Raw genomic sequence first — 23,256 nt, forward strand, 5'->3', positions numbered from 1 at the left:
CTTCTTGATATAAAATAGTGCTTTTTAAAGTACAATGTGTGGGCCAGTGCCAGTTTGCTGTTAATAGTCTGAGTGAACTTATACAAGCACAGAAACTGAGAATAAGAATTTAGAAACATATAGTAATCTGATAGAAATTTTATGTTTGCTGAATTTAATAAAAGATAGTTGGTTTTTTGTTTGTTTTTGTTTTATTTCTTGAGACGTAGTTTTGCTCTTGTTGCCCAGGCTGGAATGCAATGGCACAATCTCAGCTCACTGCAACCTCTGCCTCCCGGGTTCAAGCAATTCTCCTGCCTCAGCCTCCTGAGTAGCTGGGACTACAGGCGCGTGCCACCACGCCCAGCTAATTTTTTGTATTTTTAGTAGAGATGGGGTTTCACCATGTTGGCCAGGCTGGTCTTGCACTCCTGACTTCAGGTGATCTGCCCACCTCAGCCTCCCAAAGTGCTGGGATTACAGGCGTGAGCCACTGCCAGCCTGGTTTTGTTTTTTTAATTTACTTTTCCAGTTATTCATTTTTATTTTATTTTACAAAAGCATTGGCTTACATCTAAAGAGCACTGGTATAAGCCTTATTTTGGAAAATGAGGTTTAGCACATTACAAAGAAGCTTCTGATGGTATTAAGTCATAAAATAATCTACGTTAGAGAACAATGCAAAATTCTTGTAAGTACATTAACCATAGAGAGAGGCAAAGGGGAAACATTTCATAAAATGCATTCAAGTTAGCCAGAAAACCAGGAAGGTGATTACCAAGAGGACGTTGTCAGGTTATTTGAAATACATGCATTCATACTTACTGGCAGATTCTATAAACTTAGGGTAGGCATCATATGTAATGAGTGGAATTGGCAAATCCCTGAAGTACAGTTTAAGTGCACCAGTGATAATGTTGATATCTTCATACATGTTCACAGAAATATCTGCCTTCTCACCATCTTTTAAGGATGTTGAAAGAAATAAAAGTAAATATCTGGATTCACAGCACTGTTTTAATGAATGACATATCTGTATACAAATCAGATTTTAAAGATTAGCAATTCTTCAGTTTTTAACGTAAAATTTAGTGTGCTACGTTACATATTAATGATTAATTTTCTGTGAAAGAGCCTCTTCTGATCTCCAGCATGCCTTACCTGCCCTACTAGACAGGTTAAACTCCCCAGTTATTAATATTTTCCTTTATAGCCCTTATTAAAATAAAATCAATAGCCACTGTGTGATTATTATTTAATGTGAGCCCTCCATGAGTGCAAGGACCAAGCGTACATGGTTAACCATCATATCTAAAGTGCTCGGCAGGATTCATGGCACCTCGTCTATGCTCTATAAATGTTCTAAAGAACATGGTGCCTGGCATATAGTAGCTGCTTAATATTTTTGAGTTAACCAATCAATGGAAAATAGATTTAAACAAGCTAGGGGCCTAAAAGAGTAACATGCCGGGGCTTACTATGTACGTTGTTATTAAACTGGTTCTTTTAAAACCTGCTTTTTAGTAAGTATACACAAATACACAAATATATTCTTCCATCTGTATTATCTATTTACTTATTTTCTGTTTTAAAATAATGTAAACAAATCCTGGAATCTGATATCCACATACTACATTCTAAGTAGGGCTATACCATATCAGCAAGACGTCTATAACATCTCTGTTTCCTGATTGTTTCTTTACTTTCTGCTCTTGCCTCCAGCAGACTAGGATTCTTCTGGGGTAAAGCTGATGAGATTTTATTTGTTTTGACCATGGATCTCTCACTGTACCTGTCACATAAATATCTGTGATTCCACCAAAGGACAAAATGTAGCAGAGGTATAATGGCAACTGCTGACCTCAGAATAGTCAGCTTTCCATTCAGTCACTATTTCCTAAGCTGGGGAAGATTTCCCCAAACTTGCCTTTTCACCTTGGCTCTTAAATGAGTTCATTCCAGCATCCTATGGATATTGTCTTCTTTCTTGGATCTCATTACTTGAGGTTTATGCCTCTCAGAAGTGATCATCCTTAATTACTCCAAATTATTTTGCTCTGTTTATTCAAAGGTATAGGATTATTCCTTTGAACATGCATGGAATTGGGCAGCATTTATATATAGAACTGATTTTAATGATCCGAGTCACTGGTTTCCTGTAATCCATGTTAAAATCCTTTGCATCATTACTATAGATCTTGCAGATGAGTGCTGGTACACATCCTTGGGAGGCCAAAGACTGGCCCCCAGCAGTGTGGCTACAGGGAGCCAAGGTGAGCTCTTCATGAATTTTAAAATCTGTTACTGGTGTTTTCAGGTCACAAAATGGTTGTCTCATATTTTCTATACAGGAAACTGTGTCATTTCTTTGCTCTCTGGGGTCCATAGGAACATTCAGTTTCTTTGTCAGTGTGAATTTATTTTTGAGACTCATAGCCAGAGGCTGGGAATGGACATGCTCAGTTGCAGAGCTTCCAGAGTAAAGAGATGCTTCTTCCCATTCAATCTGGCAGGGATTCAGGACTGCTCTTCCTGATGCTTATTTGGAGTGAATACACCATTAATTCACCTCCCTTTCTTTGCTCTTATCACATACATGGGCTGGCCTAGTTTCCCTCAGGTTGGTAATGAATATTTAATTACTTTTGCTTTCTGCCTCTGTTGCCTACAAGAGGTCTGTGAATGGGAGAGGTTTGTGTGATAGAACTAGAATACGTACTTGCAAAGGAAAGTGGTTCTTTAAAAGATCACTAACTCTTACTCCTTTACTTCCTGTATTCAAGGCTACAGGTCTTCTTTGGAACCACCTTGTTCTAGTCCTTGAAGCAAAGACAAATTGGAGAGCCATGGAAGCAAATCTTAATTTAAATGTTAGCTAAGAAAATTAAGCTCCACTGAGCTTTTCTTTGACTGGGCCCCTTCTCCTACAGTGGCTGATGGGTCCCCCACAGAAGGCCCCTAAAGCTTCTTTCAGCTTTCTGGCCCCAAAACTTGAGTCCGGGCTTGGGTCTCACTCAGCTAATCGAAGATGGTGATGAGGATGCCAGCGGGGCATGGATGACAGGCAGGGTAAGGTGGGTTAACTCAAGCCTGAGAAGCCTGAAATCTGTAATGGTATAGATCCTACTCTTTTCTCTATCATTTTTGGTGAATGTAATTGCTCTGTATGTATTTTGGTGAACATGGACCAGCCTTGGATACTCAAATATTGGTAACATAGTTTAATTTTATACTTCTTTCATATTCTGAAATTTGACTGTTTAATACTTACAACTCAGAAAAAAGAAGAAATTATAAGCTAAGTTTTTTAATTTGGTATAATAATCATCAATGATTTAGAAAAATAATGCAAAAAATACCTCACAAGAAATTGTGCCTTTTTAGAAAAGAGTATTATTGTCCTAAGTTATGGAACATTGTGAAAAACATACCTCTGTCGAAAGCCATCTTGACATCTTCAATTAGGTCACTAAATCCTGATACTCGGTATAGTCCTTCAGAATTAAGACCTGAAAAATAAAACTAGTTAGTTTCTTTGAATTATGCCTTTTCTTCAGATTTTAACTCCTCACACTTTAAGCTGGGAGGTAATGTGTCAGAAGAAATAAAATATACATGTTTAGAAATCTTTTCACACTCTTCTCCTAGAATAAAACGATTTCACACACAGTTCTTTAACTCTTACCTATTGTCACCTGAATATCATCTGGCTCATCATTTGGTCTAATTAAGTGAAATATGTTAAGTCTTAAGGGAAATAATTCATCACCCCAATTACATCATAAATTCTTTTACATAACAGAAGACTAAGATAAAATATAGGCCTGTTTTTCTCAAGTGGGAAAGAATAATTAGGATGCAGCTCTGTTTTTGGCTTTATAGATAGTTTTAGTAGAGCATTTATACTTTTGCTTTTTGAACCAAAGAAAAATTTAAAAACTGAAAAATGAATTTGTCTTTACCTGTCAACTTTTGCAGACTGGAAGCATCATCTATAAATATATTTTTATACAAGCACATTGGCTACACTTAGTTAAATGTACCTTGAAATCAAGCTATTTAATTGTTAAATTAATTCATTTCAGTCTTTGAGATCATTTGACATATGAAACCATTCCCCTCCAAATTACAGAAGACAACCGTATTGTGCAATGAGGTACCCAAAAGGCATCAGGATTGGTACTGGTAGTGAACGGAGACCACTGCAACCCGCACTGCAAATGGCTCACCTCTAGACTCAATCTCCCTGATGCACATGTCTACCACCATTGGCCGCTTAGTGGTATGTGCTTTCACGAGCGTCGTAAGGTCACAGCTGTACACCTTTTTGACATGCTTCAAGTCTGGCTTACAGTCATTTGGGACCATCTTGGAACACTGCTTATGAACATTCAAACCACAATCTAAGAAAAGAATAAAGAAAGGAAACATTCAATATTATTTTCAGAGTTTTGAGCATTCTGGAGTGTTAATTTTAGCAAAAGGCACTCCAGCTTGAATTAGGTTTTAAAGTGGACTAGACTCCAGCAGTTCTTTCTTGGTGGAAAAACAATAATTTTCATCTTTTCTCTTGGAACAATTTGATTATAAGCCAGGAGACCAGAATTCTAGCTCACGCTTCATCGTTTAATTGCTGTATGATCTCAGGAGAATACAACAAAAAAATCAAAATTAATGTTTTTAATTCAATGTCCACAAAATATGTCAAATAGCCAAAAAAAAAACCCATTTCTTTAAAGTTACATAAAATGTTTATTTAATGTGGGGTATAATTGCATTTTAAGTATATTTGATATAAAGCGGAATTGGACCTCCAAAAGTAGGAATATCCAGGGCCCTCTTAAAATGGTGCTGCTCATGTTTATATCTATCTGTAATCCTTTCTATATATATGATAACTAATATATAATTCCTCTAGTAGCTGGAAATAGCTGTAACTATTATTTATTGCTATACTATTACCGGCTAACATTTATTGAGGGCTTACTAGTGCCAGGCACTATTCTAAGTGCTTTACATTTATTATTTCACTTAAACTCACAAAGCTCTATGAAACGGGTACTTTTTTCCCTCATATTATATCTGAGAAAACCAAACACAGAAGTAATAAGTAATTTACCCAAGGCCATGCATTTAGTACACAGTGGAACAGAACTCAAGCCTATGGATGATTCTAGAGTCCACATTTTAAAAATGTTTACTGTTTAATTACAAAGGATATAGCTGAAGAGACGTATAGGATGAGGTATGGGGAAAGGGGTGTGGAGGTTCCAGCCCTCCCTGGGTGTATCACCCTCTAGGAACCGCCACATGTTCAGTTATCTGGAAGCCCCTAGAGTCAGTCCCCAATTTTAACACCTAGACACATACTGCCTCTACTGAAGTTACTCATTTGCTTTGTAATTTTACTTGGTTATAACTTCTAAGATGCCAGAAATGAAACATTTTCTGGTTAATATTGTGAGACACTTTATTTTCAACAAGAAAAGTACAAAGAAATTTTAGATGGGGTAGAGAGGAATACAAATATTTTGTTAAATTAGACTGCAGAGTAAACCATACCTAAATAATTCAACTAAAATAAATGTCATCTTTTTAAAAAAAATAACCCATTTGTTTTTAAGTTCATAAAAACTTTATGTTGACCTCTTGTAAATCTAGTCCAAGTGGTGCATATATGATTTATAGCCAGGTCTTAGTGAAGCCAATTTGAAAATCATACAACGCCATTCAGTTTTGCTTGCTGTTTCTGGCAGAAAGACGATCCTAATATTCACCTCACAAAATTGTTTTGAGAATTAATGAGCCAATGCATTCAGGTGCTTTGAATGTTGTAAAATGCTAGACAAATGCTGGTGATCATTATCATGACTTTTGGTAAAAGTTATTAGCTGTGATCTAGTTATATATAGTGGTAACAGTTAACAGAGACAAGGAAAATTAGCCAAAACTTACAAACAACATCATTGTTTCATTAAATGTGTAGACACTGCCAACTTGAAATAAGAACTTAAGGCCTGTGGCAACTCTCGGGAAAGAATTCATATGAACTGAGCACCTCCATGTACAAAGACAGGCTAGGTGTCAAGGGAAGCTGGGTCTCTGCATACATGTGGAAGATGGGATCACCAGTGCTAATAGTGCCAAAAGTTATCACCCCTAAGGAATGTCAGCTTGTGAATACAGAATGGCTTCCAGGACAAAGAGCTCAATCTACACTATCTGAACAAATGACCCAACACTATTCTGTATCATTAATGTCCAAATGACTTCAGAACCAAATCCCAAATTCTTCTTTATCTCTGTATTAGAGAATACATAAGAGATCTGACTCAATCATAAGGCAACCAACTGTCCACTTAAAAGATCTCCTGTCTCCTGAATATTTTAATGTTTTGGGTAACTTTTATATCTTAGAGTTCAGTCTAGAATTTATTAGCTGTGTGATTTTGAGTGAGTTGCTCAAATTTCCTGTACCTCAGTTGTGTAAAATGGGAACAATAATAGTGTTTATTAGTGTTCATGTGAGGCTTCAATGTTAATATAGGTAAAATGCATACATGTAGTAAACTGTGTTCACCATGACTATGTTGTTGTTATTTAGAAAAATGAAATAACACTTTGAAAGGCCTTTTCTATGTCGTACCTCAAGGTTGTCAATCAGCTTAAGGTCAGAAGCTAAGTTGAACTCAAGGCTAAAAATTTCATATTTGTCAGATGTGGAGGCCAGGTCCCGAAAAGGAATTGGATAACTGGGGATACAGATGCTTCCATATCTACACTGTTCTTAATGTATTTCATTTAAATAAAAGGACCCGAAGTAAGTAATGCATCATTTCTCTCTTGACTGCTTTCACCATATTTGGGGAGTTTTCAGCTATTTTTTTTTTCAAATATTTTTTCAGCCTCTCATTCTTTATCTTCTTTTGGGATTCCAACAACACAAATGCTAAAACCTTTGTTATGGTCCCACTGGTCTCTGAGGCTCAGTTCACTTTTTAAAATCTATTTTCTAAGCCAAGCATAGTGGCTCACACCTATAATCCCAGCACTTTGAAAGGCTAAAGTGGGAGAATTGCTTAAGGCCAGGAGTTTGAGACAAGCCTAGGCAACATAGTGAGACCCTGCCTCTACAAAAATTTTTAAAAATTGGTGGTTGTGGTGGTGTGCGCCTGTAGTTCCAGCTACTCAGCGGGCTTGTGGTGGGAGGATTGCCTGAGCCCAGGTGGTCAAGGCTGCAGTGAGCTATGATCACACCACTGCACCCCAGCCTGAATGACACAGCGAGACCCTGTCTCTAAAAAAAAATAAATTAAAAAATACATATTTTCTCTTTGTTGTTTAACTTGGATAATTTCTACTTATCTTCACTTCAAGTTCATCTTCACTCTGTCATGTCTATTCTGCTATTAAGCCCATAATCCGGTGAGTTCCTTTTAGTTATTATATTTTTCAGTTCTAAAATTTCCATTTGGTTCTTCCTAATATCTATTTCTTTTCGGATATTTCCTTTTTTTTTTTTTTTCATTTGTTTCAAGAGTGTTCATAATTGCTTGTTGGGGGCATTTTTATGATAGCTGCTTTTCTTGTCTGATAATTACAACATCTGTGTCATCTTGACGTTGCTGTTGGTGTCTGCCAATTGTCCTTTTTTATTTTTTTCCTGGTTATTTCCAGAGTAACTTTTGATGAGTAATTCTGAATGGTATCTTTGATATTTGAGTATTATTTGACTCTGGTTCCTACTAAATCTTTAAAATTGTAACCTGTAGTCAATTTGTTTAGATTTAGAATGCTCTTTTGTAGACTGTGATCCAAATGTCAACCTAGTTTACAAAGTTTTTTTTAAATGCTACTGCAGTGCTATTGTGCCTGCCCCACTTGTATATTACCCAAATGGCAGGACTCTGCTCCACATTCTCTGTGGCACTGGGTGGGAGGGAGAGGTATTGCAGGTAGGGTGGAAGTCAAAGCTGTGCCCACAAACTGGGTTGGGGAATAGTACTATTTTACATGTAGCTGTAGGATGGGCATAGATGATAGAGTTCTCACCAGTCTCAGCTGCCTCATTACTGCAGGTCAGGGATGAAGATACAGCTCTCCCCATAGACTTGGGCTGAGAGGTTGCTGCTTCTACTATAGGGTGGAGAAGAAAGTCAGGATCCCACTCACAAGCTCAGCAAAGGAGGGATACCAGTTTCTGCAAGGCAGGAATGGAAGGAAGCTAGAGTTCCACTCACAGGTTTGCAGCAGAGTGCACCACTGCTATTGCAAGGTGGTGGTGGAAAACTGGCTTGTACCTAGACTCTGCTGCTGCAGCATCCACTGAGAAGGTGTAGCAGAAGGGTCTCTGTTTACCTAGAGAATGGAAGGTATGACTGAAAGGTTTCTGTGCTGCTGGGCTGCCCTTTTCCCACTGCGTTAGCTAGAAAGAGCAGCCTTTTTTGGGGATTATTTTTAATCTCTGCCAGGTGGCATTTATGGTTCGTGGGCTTCTCTGGTGCCCAGGCTGGGATAATATTGGAGGTTAAAACAGACAAAATTAGCCACCAGGGAACTCGCTGCTAGGTTGTTTCTGGAATCCTGAGGTGCTTAGTCTGCCTTCCAACTTTTCAGAGTCTTCTGATAGTTGATGTATATGTTTTGTCCAGGGCCTTTTGTTATAATTATTGGGAGTAATAAAAGCATATTTATCCATCTTGTCCAGAACTGGAAGAACTCTTATAACAACGTTTTAGAAGCATGAAATTCAACAACCTTCATAATCTAATAATAGTGTTGATATACCTCATACTTTAAGTGTAATACACACAGGTCACAGATTGAGTCAGAAAGGGCTCTTGGTAAAAAGCTATCCCAATATCTTCATTTCAAGCTGAAGACAATGAGGTTGAGAGAGGCTAAATGACTTGTTCAGGTTACTCAGCCAGAAAGTGCTAGAACTGACTTTGAAATCTTAGATTGCTGATTCCCAGCCTGTCCTCTTCCCACTGGGTCACACATACCACTTTTCCCCATGTATACCATACACTACATCATGTACTCAAAGTTATATTTTCCATTATTGAAGATGTATTTGCTATTTTCAACCTCTTATTCAAAAATGTATATTGTACCCATTATTCATTGTATAGACTTGAGTTTAAAAAACATTGCTATATTTTACCCAAATGAGTCCCCTTATAGATATCTATATATATAATTGATCTGGCAGGGTTTTTAAAATGCAGTGATAAAACTTGTTTTGTCATATTCTTTCCCTATGTATAAAAATCCAGTAGAAAGCAAAAAAGTAAAATTGTGATGCATGCACATAAAACATCTGAATGGCAGTAATGGTTTGGTATTGACTTTTTTCCTTTGAATGTTTGGAGTCATCCCCCAATTTTTTTTTTTTTTTTTTAAAACAGGGTCTCGCTCTGTCACCCAGGCTGGAGTCAATGGCGCAATCTTGGCTCACTGCAACCTCTGCCTCCCAGTTCAAGTAATTCTCATGCCTCAGCCTCCAAGTAGCTGGGACTACAGACACGCGTCGCTACGCCCAGCTGATTTTTTTTTCTTTTTTTTTTTTTTTTTGAGACGGAGTCTCGCTCTGTCGCCCAGGCTGGAGTGCAGTGGCGCGATCTCGGCTCACTGCAAGCTCCGCCTCCCAGGTTCATGCCATTCTTCTGCCTCAGTCTCCCGAGTTGCTGGGACTACAGGCGCCCGCCACCACGCCTGGCTAATTTTTTATATTTTTAGTAGAGACGGAGTTTCACCGTGTTAGCCAGGATGGTCTCGATCTCCTGACCTCGTGATCCTCCCGCCTTGGCCTCCCAAAGTGCTGGGATTACAGGCATGAGCCATCGCGCCCGGCCAATTTTTTGTATTTTTAGTAGAGATGGGGTTTCACCATATTGGCCAGGCTGGTATTGAACTCCTGACCTCAGATGGTCCACCTGTCTTGGCCTCCCAAAGTGCTGGGATTATAGGCGTGAGTTACCACATCCAGTATTCATCTCCCATTTTAAACATCAGCAGGTTCCTAAGCTTATTTGGGACTCAGTGAAGACTGGATAAAGTGATGAGTGAGCTCAGATTTAGGTATTTAAGGAAGAGGGAAATGTTTTCTAAACTGATGTTCTCTCTTTTATTTAAATAAGATAAAACTATGGGAAAACATTAATATGTTATACTCAATTTTAAAAATGTATCTGATAAGGCTAAATTCTTGGCAGGACTGGATATGAAGTCTTTGCCAAAGACAGGGCAAAGTCATTAAAATAAAGCTGATTTTTATACACTTACATTCACAGTGCAATTCACTAGCCCTGAGCTTGCTCTGAAAACTGCTGCCTCAGGGACTAACGGTATATCAATATTTCAGTTTGCTATTAAGGCTTTATTTGGTTTTCATACTTATTTATTAAAGTCATATAACTCTTATATAGTTCCATTTCTCTCAGGGAAGCGCTATACTACAAATAATAATAATAATAAAAGGTCCATAAATGATTTCATTTGTTGAATCTCTTGGTTTGGTAGGTTATTTTTATGTTACTATTAAACCACATTTTTTTTTATGTTACTATTAAACCACATTTCTCCCTTCCAATTTCTCAAGTTAATAAGCATAGAATAAACATATGAAAGGAGGAATAAAAAATTCAAGTCACATTTTATTCTATACTTTCTTAATAAAATATTTCTATTACTTAGACTACCAACTTTAAATTACTTTCAGACTTTCTGGGGCTTGATTTTGCTAAAACACAGGTTTTATATCTAGAAAGCACAGAAATCAATTTTTTGAAAGGAATAGCTGATACTGACATTCTATTGACAGGATTAAAGGATAACTTTATGTTAATAAGATTTGAAATTATAATCATTATTCTCTCTGAATGTTCATATTTTAAATAATGGCAAATAAAAACTTGTTTTGAAACATATCTCGTTTTTTTTCCCCCAGGAAAGTGGAATAGCTTGAATTTTAATATGCATCAGAAGTAATTATTTTTATAAGCAAAATTAAGAAGAATGCTTTGTTCTTTGGAATATTGATGAAAATATTGTTTCCAACTAAAAGGGGCTCCATGAAACTTTTAAGCAAGTCTTACCAATTTCTCACTGGCTTACAAGGACAAACGCAACTCTTTAGGTACGATCAATCAAAACAGTAGTTAAAATAAAAAACATTACTTCCACTTATTTTCTGCAACCTAAAAGGGCTTGTATACCTGAAGTAATAAATACTTACAGTTTATTATTAGGAGAACTGCTGCCATTTCCTTTTGGAGGCAGCAATGATAATGATACACTGAAAACATGAAGTCACTTTCATAAATAACCAACATTAAACTGATATGTCTGATTTGAAATAATTATCCTTCTTAATTTCTTAGATTATTCTGGTAAGGCTAAGATGAAAACAATTCAGGAATGCTGCTGGAATAATGGTCTTTTTTTAAAGACGAATGTTTGACAGTCTCCATGATTACATAATAATAGATTACTTTAACCTATAAGCTTACTTTTCATAAAGAAAAATACTATTCAAGGGAACTATTCTAAATGAACAACGACCATCCTTTGAACTTGATTTTTTTATTATTATTATTATACTTTAAGTTTTAGGGTACATGTGCACAATGTGCAGGTTAGTTACATATGTATACATGTGCCATGCTGGTGTGCTGCACCTATTAACTCGTCATTTAGCATTAGGTATATCTCCTAATGCTATCCCTCCCCCCTCCCCCCACCCCACAACAGTCCCCAGAGTGTGATGTTCCCCTTCCTGTGTCCATGTGTTCTCATTGTTCAATTCCCATCTATGAGTGAGAACATGCAGTGTTTGGTTTTTTGTCCTTGCGATAGTTTACTGAGAATGATGATTTCCAATTTCATCCATGTCCCTACAAAGGACATGAACTCATTATTTTTTATGGCTGCATAGTATTCCATGGTGTATATGTGCCACATTTTCTTAATCCAGTCTATCAATCATTGTTGGACATTTGGGTTGGTTCCAACTCTTTGCTATTGTGAATAGTGCCACAATAAACATACGTGTGCATGTGTCTTTATAGCAGCATGATTTATAATCCTTTGGGTATATACCCAGTAATGGGATGGCTGGGTCAAATGGTATTTCTAGTTCTAGATCCCTAAGGAATCACCACACTGACTTCTACAATGGTTGAACTAGTTTACAGTCCCACCAACAGTGTAAAAGTGTTCCTATTTCTCCACATCCTCTCCAGCACCTGTTGTTTCCTGACTTTTTACTGATTGCCATTCTAACTGGTATGAGATGGTATCTCATTGTGGTTTTGATTTGCATTTCTCTGATGGCCAGTGATGATGAGCATTTTTTCATGTGATTTTTAAAGGTTACCTACTTGGGTCATAAATATTCTAGCCGGAGGAGCACCATTCCCAATCTGCAGTTAGCTATGCCCTTGCAACATCACTTTCTTCACTTCAAAGGAGGCTAGAGGAAGGGTGACTTTGGTGGGTGAGACTTTGCAATGCCTGCAATGTCACCTTGCACTGCGTGGTTTTGAATAGCCCGTGTAATGTAATGATTAGCATTCTCAGGATGGTCCCTGCTGCTCCCTCAGTTGTCCTCATCGCTGCGGTGTGCTTAGCAGCAAGCCAGCACTTTCAGTCCTGAAGGGACGGCTTGCCTGGTATTAGCTGGATTTAGTCCGACTCCTACAGCAACTTTGCCAGCCTGGTGGTTGGAACATCACCCAATACCTTTACATGATGTTTAAAAAAGGGCTGTGGCGAGGGACACAAAATTGCTGCTTTTGGCATTTAAAGCAGCTTTAAACATTTAAACATTCCTGACAAGCTCTCTTTTGCCTCGGTGGATTTTGAAAAAAGAAGGCAGAACAAAGCAAGCTGTCTCAGGAATCAAAGGCAGATAAATACATTTCTTTTCTGACAGCCCACCATTTTTCTTTGGAAAGAATACCTTTAGTGTTTAGTGGTTAGTGCATTAGTTTACAATTGCTGCTATAACAAATTATTAATACCACAAACTCCTGGCTTGAAACATCAAGCATATATTATCTTAAATTCTGGAGGTCAGAAGTTCAAAATCACTTTCACTGGGCTAAAATCAGGTGTTAGCGGGTCTGCATTTCTTCTGGAGGCTTAGGGGAGAATCCACTTCTTTCCTTGCCTTTTCCAGTTTCCAAAGACCACCTGCATTCCTTGGCTTCTGGCTCCTTCCTCTGTCTTCAAAGCCAGCAGCATAGCATCTTCTCTTCCCTCTGACCTCTGCTTCTGTCCTTATATCATCTTTCTCTATCAACCTCTCGCCTCCCTTTTATAAGGGCCATTATGATTGTGATTATACTAGGCCTCCCTTGACAATCTAGGGTACTTTCCCTGCTGTGGTTTGAAAGTGTCCCCTCAAAAATTCAGGTGTTGCTAATGTGAGAGTATTAAGAGAAGGGACCTTTCAGAGATGATTAGCTTATGAGGGCGCCTCCCCTGTGAATGGGATTAGGCGCTCTTATAAAGGGGCTTGACAGAGGGAGTTGGCCCCTTTTATACTCTTCTGCCAAATCATGAGGACACTGCATTGTAGGCACCTCCCCTCTGGAGGACATAGCTTTCCAGGCGCCATCTTGGAAGCAGAGTTGGACCCTTACCAGACACTGAACCTGCTGCCAGCTTGATCTTGGACTTCCTGGCCTCCAGAACTGTGAGAAATAAATTTCTGTTATTTACAAATTACCCAGTCTGTGGTATTTTGTCATAGCAACCCAAAACTCCCCATCTCAATATCCTTAATTTAAATGACATCTGCAACATTCTTCGTGCCATGAAAGGAACAAGGAATGTTGTTCTGGGAATTAGAAGCGGACATCTCTGGGGAGCTATTTTTCAGCTTATCACAGCTAGTGTGCACTCTCTCTTTAAATTCTCAATTCTTTGCGTTTGGATTTAGATAGTCAAAGGCCAGATGAGCCTCAAAGCCACTTCAGACCTAAGAATCTCACTGTCAATCCAAATATAATTAGTTGTCATAGAAAACAGAATGAATTCAAATTCCAACCCTCCGTGTTTTCAAAATGAGTTGACTTGTGCTTGTATTACACATTAATATGGTTCAAATCACACTGAATATAATGCTTTTAAGGACAAGATATAACATAAAATGAAAAATCTCCTCAAGGCTTTTCTTTCAATTCCTGACCTTTACTCACAATAAGAGGTAGAGGCTATTAATGTGGGTGGCTGTGGAGATGGGGATGAATTCTTTCTCCTTTCCCCCATATTATTGACATGATAAATGTTCCAAAACATTTCTTTCCAACATGATTGGGGTTGTAGCGTATTCCCAAAGATTATTCATAGGTGCTGTACCTATTCTCTATTAATAGTTAAGAATTCTTATGTAGATGGGCTTCACTTTTTCAAAATGGAAACAATATACACCCTTACTCATGAAAGAAAAGCTTTTAAGTTTGTGACAGTCATAAAACATTTAAAAAACTATTGCAGAGTATCAGCTGGACAAGACTGTCTCATAAAGGCAAACTGGGCTCATTGAGACCATTGTTCTCGAGCAGGCAATTTGTGCTTTGGAAAGAGTATTCCATCTGCCTTTGTGAAACTGCAATGCACACTGCCTCAATACCTCCACTTTATCAACACTTTCCATTCTACTGTTTCCCTCCAGTGCAAAGGCACAACCATGGCCTTCTTCATCCCAACTCTGGATAACCACCAGCCACAGCAAGGCTTTCCTCATTCACTCTGAGCTTCGACTCTGAGCTGAGGCGCTCCCTGACGAACACCTTTGCACAGCTCCAAGTCCACACGTGTAGGATTCTTATCCCACTTCCTGTGGCAGGAAGGTCCTTGAATGGTGATATATGCCTGGAACCTTATTACATTTTAGTGATACTAAGGGAATAATAACTGAAAGAAGAGCGACTTGGAACATTTCCATGCAATACATACTATATCTTGCTATTCAAAGGAAATGCAATTTAGAAATAAGAATCAGACCCCAGAAATTTCTGCACATAATGGACAACAAAAATATTCCATTTAAAAATCATGCCACAAAAGAAATGATGTTTATAGCGATAAATCTGACAGTTACTATAGTTACCATTTTGAAATACTTTACTTAGTATATTTTTTAGTGTAAAGCTTCATGCTAAAAGACATGTAAGAAGATATTTTTTAGTTTTACAAATTAAATGGCAGAAGGAAACTTTTATGACCAAATAATAGACATTTAAAATTTACATGATTATTTTTAAGCCTATGTCAGAATTTAGAGTAGTTTGGGCTGGGTGCGGTGGCTCACGCCTGTAATCCCAGCACTTTGGGAGGCTGAGGCGGGTGGATCACGAGGTCAGGAGATCGAGACCATCCTGGCTAACATGGTGAAACCCCGTCTCTACTAAAAATACAAAAAATTAGCTGGGTGTGGTGGCGGGCACCTGTAGTCCCAGCTACTCGGGAGGCTGAGGCAGGAGAATGGCCTGAACCTGGGAGGCGGAGCTTGCAGTGAGCCGAGATCGCGCTACTGCACTCCAGCCTGGGAGACAGAGTGAGACTCTGTCTCAGAAAAAAAAAAAAAGAATTTAAAGTAGTTTGGATAAATGGCCAGTATTCAGTATAGTTGCTCTATACAAATGGATTTCACGTGATATACATAAGTACTTTATTTCACAAAGTATCTCAAATACATCCTTGTGTTGGCTATTTCTGTATGTGTAAATCTTTTGGTTTCTAAATTTGTATCTAAATATTCATGGTCATATTTTACAAAAAGTATTTGATGTATTTGATTTCAAAACATCACACAGAAAATATTAGTGACTAAGTGGTTTTTCAGAATTTGGTAACCATCTTTGAAGATGAATTCACAGATTTTTAAAGCTTCAATTTGATTTCACAAAAATTTAGTAAGGACAATCCAGCTTAACAAGTTATCTTTAAAATTCAGTTTCCAAGGCAACAATCATAGGTCCCTGTACATTGCTTTAAAAAAATCATTTTTATAAATTTAGTTACTGCAACATCAAAGGCAAGTATTAAATATAACTGCCTTACTTTTATCTCCTTTTATCAGACTTTTTGAACAAGCTGACTTCTCTCTTTTCAGTGGACTAATGCCAGATCCCTAGTGTGCTGTCCATCAAGTGCCAGAAGGTTAAGAGCAGATAAAATATCAAATTTCCAAAGTGGCTGCCTGAGAATCTGGCCTACTGCATGTGCATAAGACCAAACCAGGATCCAGCCTACTGGATATGCATAACAACAAGTCTCCTTCTACCTCACCTCTTATAACTTCACAACTGACTCAATCCAGAGACAAGACAAGAGCTCTTACCTGCACATTTCACTCCCTGAGCAATGAGACCCCACATAAAGTTGGCACAGTATTCACACCAGTGTGGCCCTCTGAATGTATGCACCTGAAAAAAAAAAAGAGGGGCAAAGTCAGGAAAGGGGAAACACACGGATGAGAAGACTGCTTCATATCAAAGCACTAATATACAAGCCACATATTCTATATATATATATATATGAGAGAAAGAGAAATGGGGTCTCACTGTTGCCCAGGCTGGAGTGCAGTGGTGTATCACAGCTCACTGAGGCCTCCCTCAAGTGATCCTCCCACCTCAGCCTCCTGAGTAGCTGGGACTACAGGCACACACGACCACACCCAGATAATTTTTGTATTTTTTGTAGAGACAGGGTTTTACCATGTTGCTCAGGCTAGTCTTGAACTTCTGAGCTCAAGCATCTGCCTGCCTTGGCCTCCCAAAGTGCTGGGATTACAGGTGTGAGCCACTGCACCCAGCCCATGGTTAGTAATGAAGCGCCAACATGGCTGCATTTAAAAGAACCTTGGTTGAGTGAAACTGACAAGCAGTTAACATTTTTTTCAGAGCTTGATTTCTTCTTTGTTTTAGGAATGATAAATCAGACCAATATTCTGTAACTTACTTTCGAAAACTATATAATGGAGTTTTCCAATGTCCCCTCAGGTGCAGGCACCCTAATCTATACAAATACTGGCATTTCTATGTACTATGCTATTTCTACAGTACTATGACATGAAAAGGCATGAGTGCCCATATAGAGTATGTCTTGGGTCCTGTTAGGAATTTTGCAGATAATTTACCTTCTGTGACTATGAGTAGGATCACAGACATTAAAGGAGATACTTATTGATGGGTCACATCAGAATCATCAAAAAGGCCCAATTTCTGTTTAAAACATTTGATATTTATTATGTTAGCAAGGAGAATAAATGTATTTTAGAAACTGCAGAAACTACAGTTTATCAGGAACCTCGTTTGAGTACAGTAATTATTCACTAACCATTCCAGCTCATAAAGGTTCTTTCTACTGTATTTGATTTCTTTTCCTTAAAAAGAAAGGAATCCCCAAAGAAGAAAGGATTCAAATGTTAAGATACCTATCCCTTTTACAAACAGGAAAGAGAAGGCATTCTAGGTTAACTCAGACAAAAAAATATTGGTAGAATATTTTGCAGAAGCAATGAATCCAAACTCTGAACATTAAAAAATAATAAAAATTTCAATATTATCAGTACATTACAATTGATTCCAACATATCTGCCAAAACCACTACCATACATAATAAAATTCACAGCTAAGATTGTCATTTTTACAATTGCTGTACTAACGTATTGACTAAGTCTTAGAAACCAAGTAAGTGATTTTTAAGATATGAAACTTATTTCTTCAAATGAAAATACCATAAATGTAAGACATACCATTATGTGTTCAATTTAGAAAAACCATGCCAATTAAATCATGACAAGCCATTGGTTGTCTGACAAATCCCAAATTCAGAGACATTAAAATGGAAAATAAAATATGCATATAAGAATCAATGAAACAGAATATCAGAATTCAAAATACTACATTGGCCCAAATATCCATATAAAGCTGCAAGGGATAACCCTGGGTTCATTCAAAGCAGGTATGTGCTTGTAACTCTTTGCTGTTGCCAACTGAGTCTGAGTACAAAATTTTATGTTGATTTTGAAAAGGAGGCCATAATCCCTTCTATGTGTTTTATGGAGGAGGGTCAGGAATGCAGGCACGGTAGCCTCTGGATTGTTAATGATGTTCAGAGCCTGTAAACTCAAAGTATTTCCTGGAGTTGCTGAAGTAGAGCCCAAGATCAACATCCAGATACTCTGTAATGTCCCTGTGTTCTTCAGAGTGAATAAAACTGGATAAAGCATGCAATCGTGCTTTATTCTTATGGGAATGAGTGAAGTAGGCAGTGCTGATTCAGAAAGAGAGTTATATAATCATGAAACAGCAACAGAATTGTGAAGCTACTTTTAGAGAAAGTCTTTGGGATGCAAACTCACTTATAGGTTGCCAAACCTCAGGATAATCAGTATCATTTACTTGGTAAGGTGACTAAAGATGCAATGAAAGTATGAAGGAAGTCTCAGGAATTATTTTGTGCCGATCAGTTATCTCATGGTAAAGCATCTGAAAGTTAAACAGGGAGAGCAAAAAGAGTAGAAGGTGTTTTGTTTGCTGTTAAACAAATAGGCATTTGGGAAACAGCACTGGCTACTGAGCTGTTTTAATAGAACCAATCCTTTCCCCACCTTCCTGAAAGTAGCAGTGAATGTGGCATTTCAAAAAGCCTGGGATATTTCTTTATATTAGATATGCTGAAGAGAGGATTTTAACTGTCCGAGCAGACCCCATGTTCTCCAATTAAAGGGTTACACATGTATCTCAGAAAGCAATCTTTAGGATATTGTTATTTATTTACAGTTCATTCTTGGGCAGCTTTTTTAATGAAGGCATCCTGAGCCATTTGAGGCTGGGTTGTTTTTTTTTGTTTTTTAAATCGTTTAGAAGGTAGCTTATGTAGCTCTCCATGAAAATGTTCTAGAAATAGGCCTTGCAGAACCAGCAGCTTACAAAACTATTTGTCTAACAGGGTTTAACTGGATTCCCTTTTGAATTTTTATATCTAAAACTCACTTGAATTTTTATATCTAAAATCCATATATCTCAAGTTTCCTTTGTTCTGTAACCTCTATGACTCTATGACACTTTATTATATTTGTAAAAGGTTGATTACTGTAGCCTTTGAGTCTTTTATTCCTCTAAAGGTCATCAAAACAAATACTGATTTTCATTAATTAGTCATTTTTATTCATTCATAAACATTTATTAAATGATGATCTATACAAAAATAAAAAGGGGTTTCTCCTACTAAACACAGTGTGAAAATATTCTAATCAAAATATTTGCAAAGTGTGAGAGAAGCTGGGAAGAGACGCAACCCATGAGCTAAGTCCTGAGTTGAAAATCAAAGACACGAGGCATGAGAGAAACAATGTGGTGTTTAGAGAACTGCAAGGAAGTTCAGTCTGGGTGGAGTGGAAACGACTGGCCTGGCAGGAGATAGGAGAGGCAGACAGGGCCTTTTCAATGCCTACAAATTTGTATTCTGTCCAGTGAACAATGCAGAGCCACTGAGGATTGTTAAGGGGAGTGACACGGTCAAGGGGGCAAGGCTGAAGGAAGACAGACTAGGTAGGGTGGTGCTATGGCAGTCACCCAGACAACAGACGATATGGAGCTGAACTCGGGCAGTGGTGACTGAGAAAAAGGGACAAACTGGAGTTATTTAGGAGGCAGAATCAACAGCGCTTGGTAACTAATTGAAACAGAGGCAACGGAGAGGGAAAGAAACTGGTCTGTTAAGGGTTTAAGGTCTGGTGACTGGGGAAGAATGACATTAACAGAGGTACAAAAGTAGAGAAACTGGTTTAGAAGTGAGGTGGGGAGGACTGTGGAAGGGAAGGGGAAGGCTGACTCATAAGAAAGAGAGGGTCACTGATGGAGCAAGGCTCTGGAGAAGTCAAATGTTGGAGACAGAATCCAGGGCAGAGCAATTAGCTCTGAATACAAGGAAAATCACTTTCCCCTTCCCTGAGTTGGGAGGGAAGAGGGTAAGAGGAGAGAGGCTGGCTGTGCAGGACTGGTGGTGGGACCTAGGGTCAGAAAGTTACAGGAATTCATGCCTGGCAGTCTATAGTCTCTGAGCATCAGGAAGGAAGTTCAGTTATGGAGCAAATGAGGAGTTTTGGCAAAGTGGGGAATAGGAACTGGAGCTAAAACTGGCCAGGAATTCAGAGAAGGGCCACTGGACTTGAAAGCAAGTTTCCTTTTTGGGTGACACATTATAAAATCGTACTATACCAGCCAGTGTCAAGCACATTAAACAAAAAGTGATGAATATTTTCTTTTTACGTGCGTCGTTATGCTTTATCTAAATGTTTCACTTTATATGCAGTTTTACATTATCGGTGATGTTTACGTCACATACTTTGCCAACTCAGAAAAAGGTATCTTTAAAAAATCAATTGCACAAATTGTACAACTTAGAATAGCTTTTCAGTTGTGCTGCTCCATCTAGCACAATACTAATAGGTGCTGTTTCCTATAGATAATTCTACAGGCACTGACATCTGCAGACAATTTTGTTTACTAGACGTTGTTGTATTTTAATTACCTGTTTTAAAAATGATGAAATCTGAATACAATGAACATTCAAAATATAATTAAAAAGCCATAAGTTGCATCTTGAAGACTATTTGTGTGTTGCAGGATGCTAAGGAAGAACTAGGTGGGATATGCGGGAAAGGAGGCCTGGAAGGGTTCACAAGGGGTGCAAGGGCTTGGGCCTGAAGCTCTAGATCACAACAGAGAGTGACTTTTGCCTAGAATTGCCACACCCCCTAGAAATCTGCAACCCATTCCTCTGGGTATGGTTCCTGATAAGACATAATTCAAAAGAACAATCAGCTTCACCCTATTACATTATTAGCGAAGTCAAAAATGGTCCCAAGAAAAGCAACCTTGTAAGTGGGCCACAGATATTTTTTCTAGGCCACCTCCAAAGCTTTTGGTCCATCTCGACAAATGAAAGTGACAGAGTATAAGGCATGAATTACACTTTAATGAATAAAGGGCAAAACGAACTAGTTTCAAAGCCCTCTTGTGCAACTGGAAAAAAAAGACCATTTTATTACCATGACATTTGTGATTGCTTTTAACCTGTGAACAACTCCTTTCACATTAACTTCTCTGTTAAAACAGAGATGAAAGACTGGATTAATTAACGGATCCCCAGTACAGTCTTATCAGTGAAGGCATTGGTCAGAAGCAGGCTGCAAAGGACAGGGTGGGAAAGGGTGGGCTATTGAGGGGCCCATATGGCACAGGCCAAGTGTCATGTGTCTCCTGGGCAATGACTTAGATAAAAACTGAAGTCATTCTCAGTTGGGCCTGCCATTATTCAGACTAAAATCCTGGCTTATAAAAGGAAACAAACACCCTGCTTCTCATCATGTTTACAGCATTCATATCTCCAGTTTGAAAGCCAGTAACAGAAACTGAAAAAGAAATCCATGATATAGGAAGATAAAGAAAAATTCACCATTAATCTTCATTGTTCCTTTCAAGTCAAAACATTCCCTTTAGAAATAAGCATGAATGCAAATAGCCAAGGAGCATGCCTGCAAAGCTTGCTGCAAATGTAAGCCACGTTGGAGATGATATGAACATTACGGGAAATAAAATTTTGCTTGGGAAGGTGGCAATGACATTTCAGCTGCAGCTTCTCATTTGGGACTGTGATGAGTCAGTTCTCCAGCACAGTGTTGGGTGATGAGGGGAGAGAACAGATGAACAAAATCAAAACGAAAGGAATGTAGGTAGGCAGGCAGCTGGTCAGGAAAGTTTTTTCTTCCCTCATTTTTATGTTTAGGGTAACTAGAATGCACTCTTTTAGGTGACCAATGTTTGTCTCACCAAGATGGTCTTAAACTTTTTGGTCCATATGATATGGAATTTAGAAATCAAACCCTAATTTGGCCGGGCGCGGTGGCTCACGAGGTCAAGAGATCGAGACTATCTTGGCTAACAACGGTGAAACCCCATCTCTACTAAAAATACAAAAGAATAGCCAGGTGTGGTGGCGGGCACCTGTAGTCCCAGCTACTCGGGAGGCTGAGGCAGGAGAATGGCATGAACCCAGGAGGCGGAGCTTGCAGTGAGCCGAGATCGTGCCACTGCACTCCAGCCTGGGCTACAGAGCAAGACTCTGTCTCAAAAAAAAATAAAAAATAAAAAAATCATACCCTAATTTTACCACTTCAGTTTAAAGTACTTTGATTTATATTATTATGCCGTGAAAAGAGAATACATAACACTGGCTATGATCATTAGCAAGAAATACATACAAGAGTACTTAAATTAGGAGGAATACTTACTATAGGAGTATCTTTAGTATCAAGGCAATACCTTCTTGCCTTGTTGTTAAGTTACGTCTAGTCAAAACTACTAACCACCCTATAACTCTGGAGTAATAATGTATTAACAAAGAGCGAGGTTTTGGTTCAGTTAAGCACCACGATAATGTCAGTTAAGCACTGACACTATGCTGGCCATTCCTAGTCTTCTTGTCCTGATCAAATGGATGTGTAATTGATGACCATGGCAGGAAAGGCAGAAGAAATGCACCAGGCACTTGCTGAAACATAGCTTTAAGCACTGGCCAAGGCTAAGTACCTGGAATAGAAAGGCATGCCCACTGGCCAGCAGCAGACAGGAGTGAGGGAGGCACTAGGCGGCTGGGGAAGGGGCGCAGGTGCTAATGGCCTGTATAACCAGCTGCTATAGAGGTGGCCACACGGGAGAATTTGCAGGGTCTTTCTGCGCCACATACTTAACCACACAAGTAGTTAACACGGAAGCACCGCTTCAAAGAGAATGACAAATGACAGAAAATTGGTGACCTAATTTTAAGAGTAAGAAAACTGTTCAAAATTGAGAGAAATACCATAAAAGCCTACTAGACATACATTGACCATACCACAAATAAATGATGTAACTTTAACTGTGAGCAATAACTACAGGGAAAAGCTGGTAAAATATGATCATACTATAACAATATGACTATTAGGACAGTCACCAGGGCAATACAGTAATTTAGTTCTGCTCCCATATGAATATTATAAAAATGGTTTATGTTAATTGGTATACAAAACAATATTTTAAATATGTGCAGAAAAAATAAATTATTCTCATAAAAATACATTTACCACAATTCAATATTGGCCTTATTAACAGAGCTTAAATTCTTTTATGGTTTCCTTTATGATCCATACATTCCCAATCACCGCTATGTTTTTGAGGGAGAAGTATATCTAAAATTACAAAATGAATGCAAAGG

General features: G+C 38.3%; 1 protein-coding gene across 6 annotated transcripts in view, besides 1 other annotated feature; it reads right to left on the reverse strand.

The window, feature by feature from the left end:
* Nucleotides 1-23,256, reverse strand: part of CHN1 (chimerin 1) — a 206,573-nt gene that overhangs the window by 9,292 nt on the left and 174,025 nt on the right. For all 6 annotated transcript variants that reach the window (NR_038133.2, NM_001822.7, NM_001025201.4 and 3 more), the window contains 4 exons: nt 16,334-16,418; nt 4,209-4,382; nt 3,411-3,488; nt 805-942 (listed from right to left, as the gene is read on the reverse strand). Coding sequence is in view for 5 of the 6 variants with exons in the window: in NM_001822.7 (NP_001813.1) it covers nt 805-942; nt 3,411-3,488; nt 4,209-4,382; nt 16,334-16,418 (475 nt within the window). In the remaining variant the exon portion in view is untranslated. The remainder of the gene's footprint in view (nt 1-804; nt 943-3,410; nt 3,489-4,208; nt 4,383-16,333; nt 16,419-23,256) is intronic.
* Nucleotides 7,100-7,258: a silencer, noted in NCBI's record as "fragment chr2:175679928-175680086 (GRCh37/hg19 assembly coordinates)". NCBI's record gives its function as "represses an EF-1alpha promoter that drives an FKBP-Casp9 reporter gene in an ReSE screen in HepG2 liver carcinoma cells {active_cell/tissue: HepG2}" and the evidence as "EXISTENCE:reporter gene assay evidence [ECO:0000049][PMID:32094911]".

Source organism: Homo sapiens, chromosome 2 (genome assembly GCF_000001405.40).
Source record: "Homo sapiens chromosome 2, GRCh38.p14 Primary Assembly".
In the NCBI taxonomy this organism is placed as follows: Eukaryota; Metazoa; Chordata; class Mammalia; order Primates; family Hominidae; genus Homo; species Homo sapiens.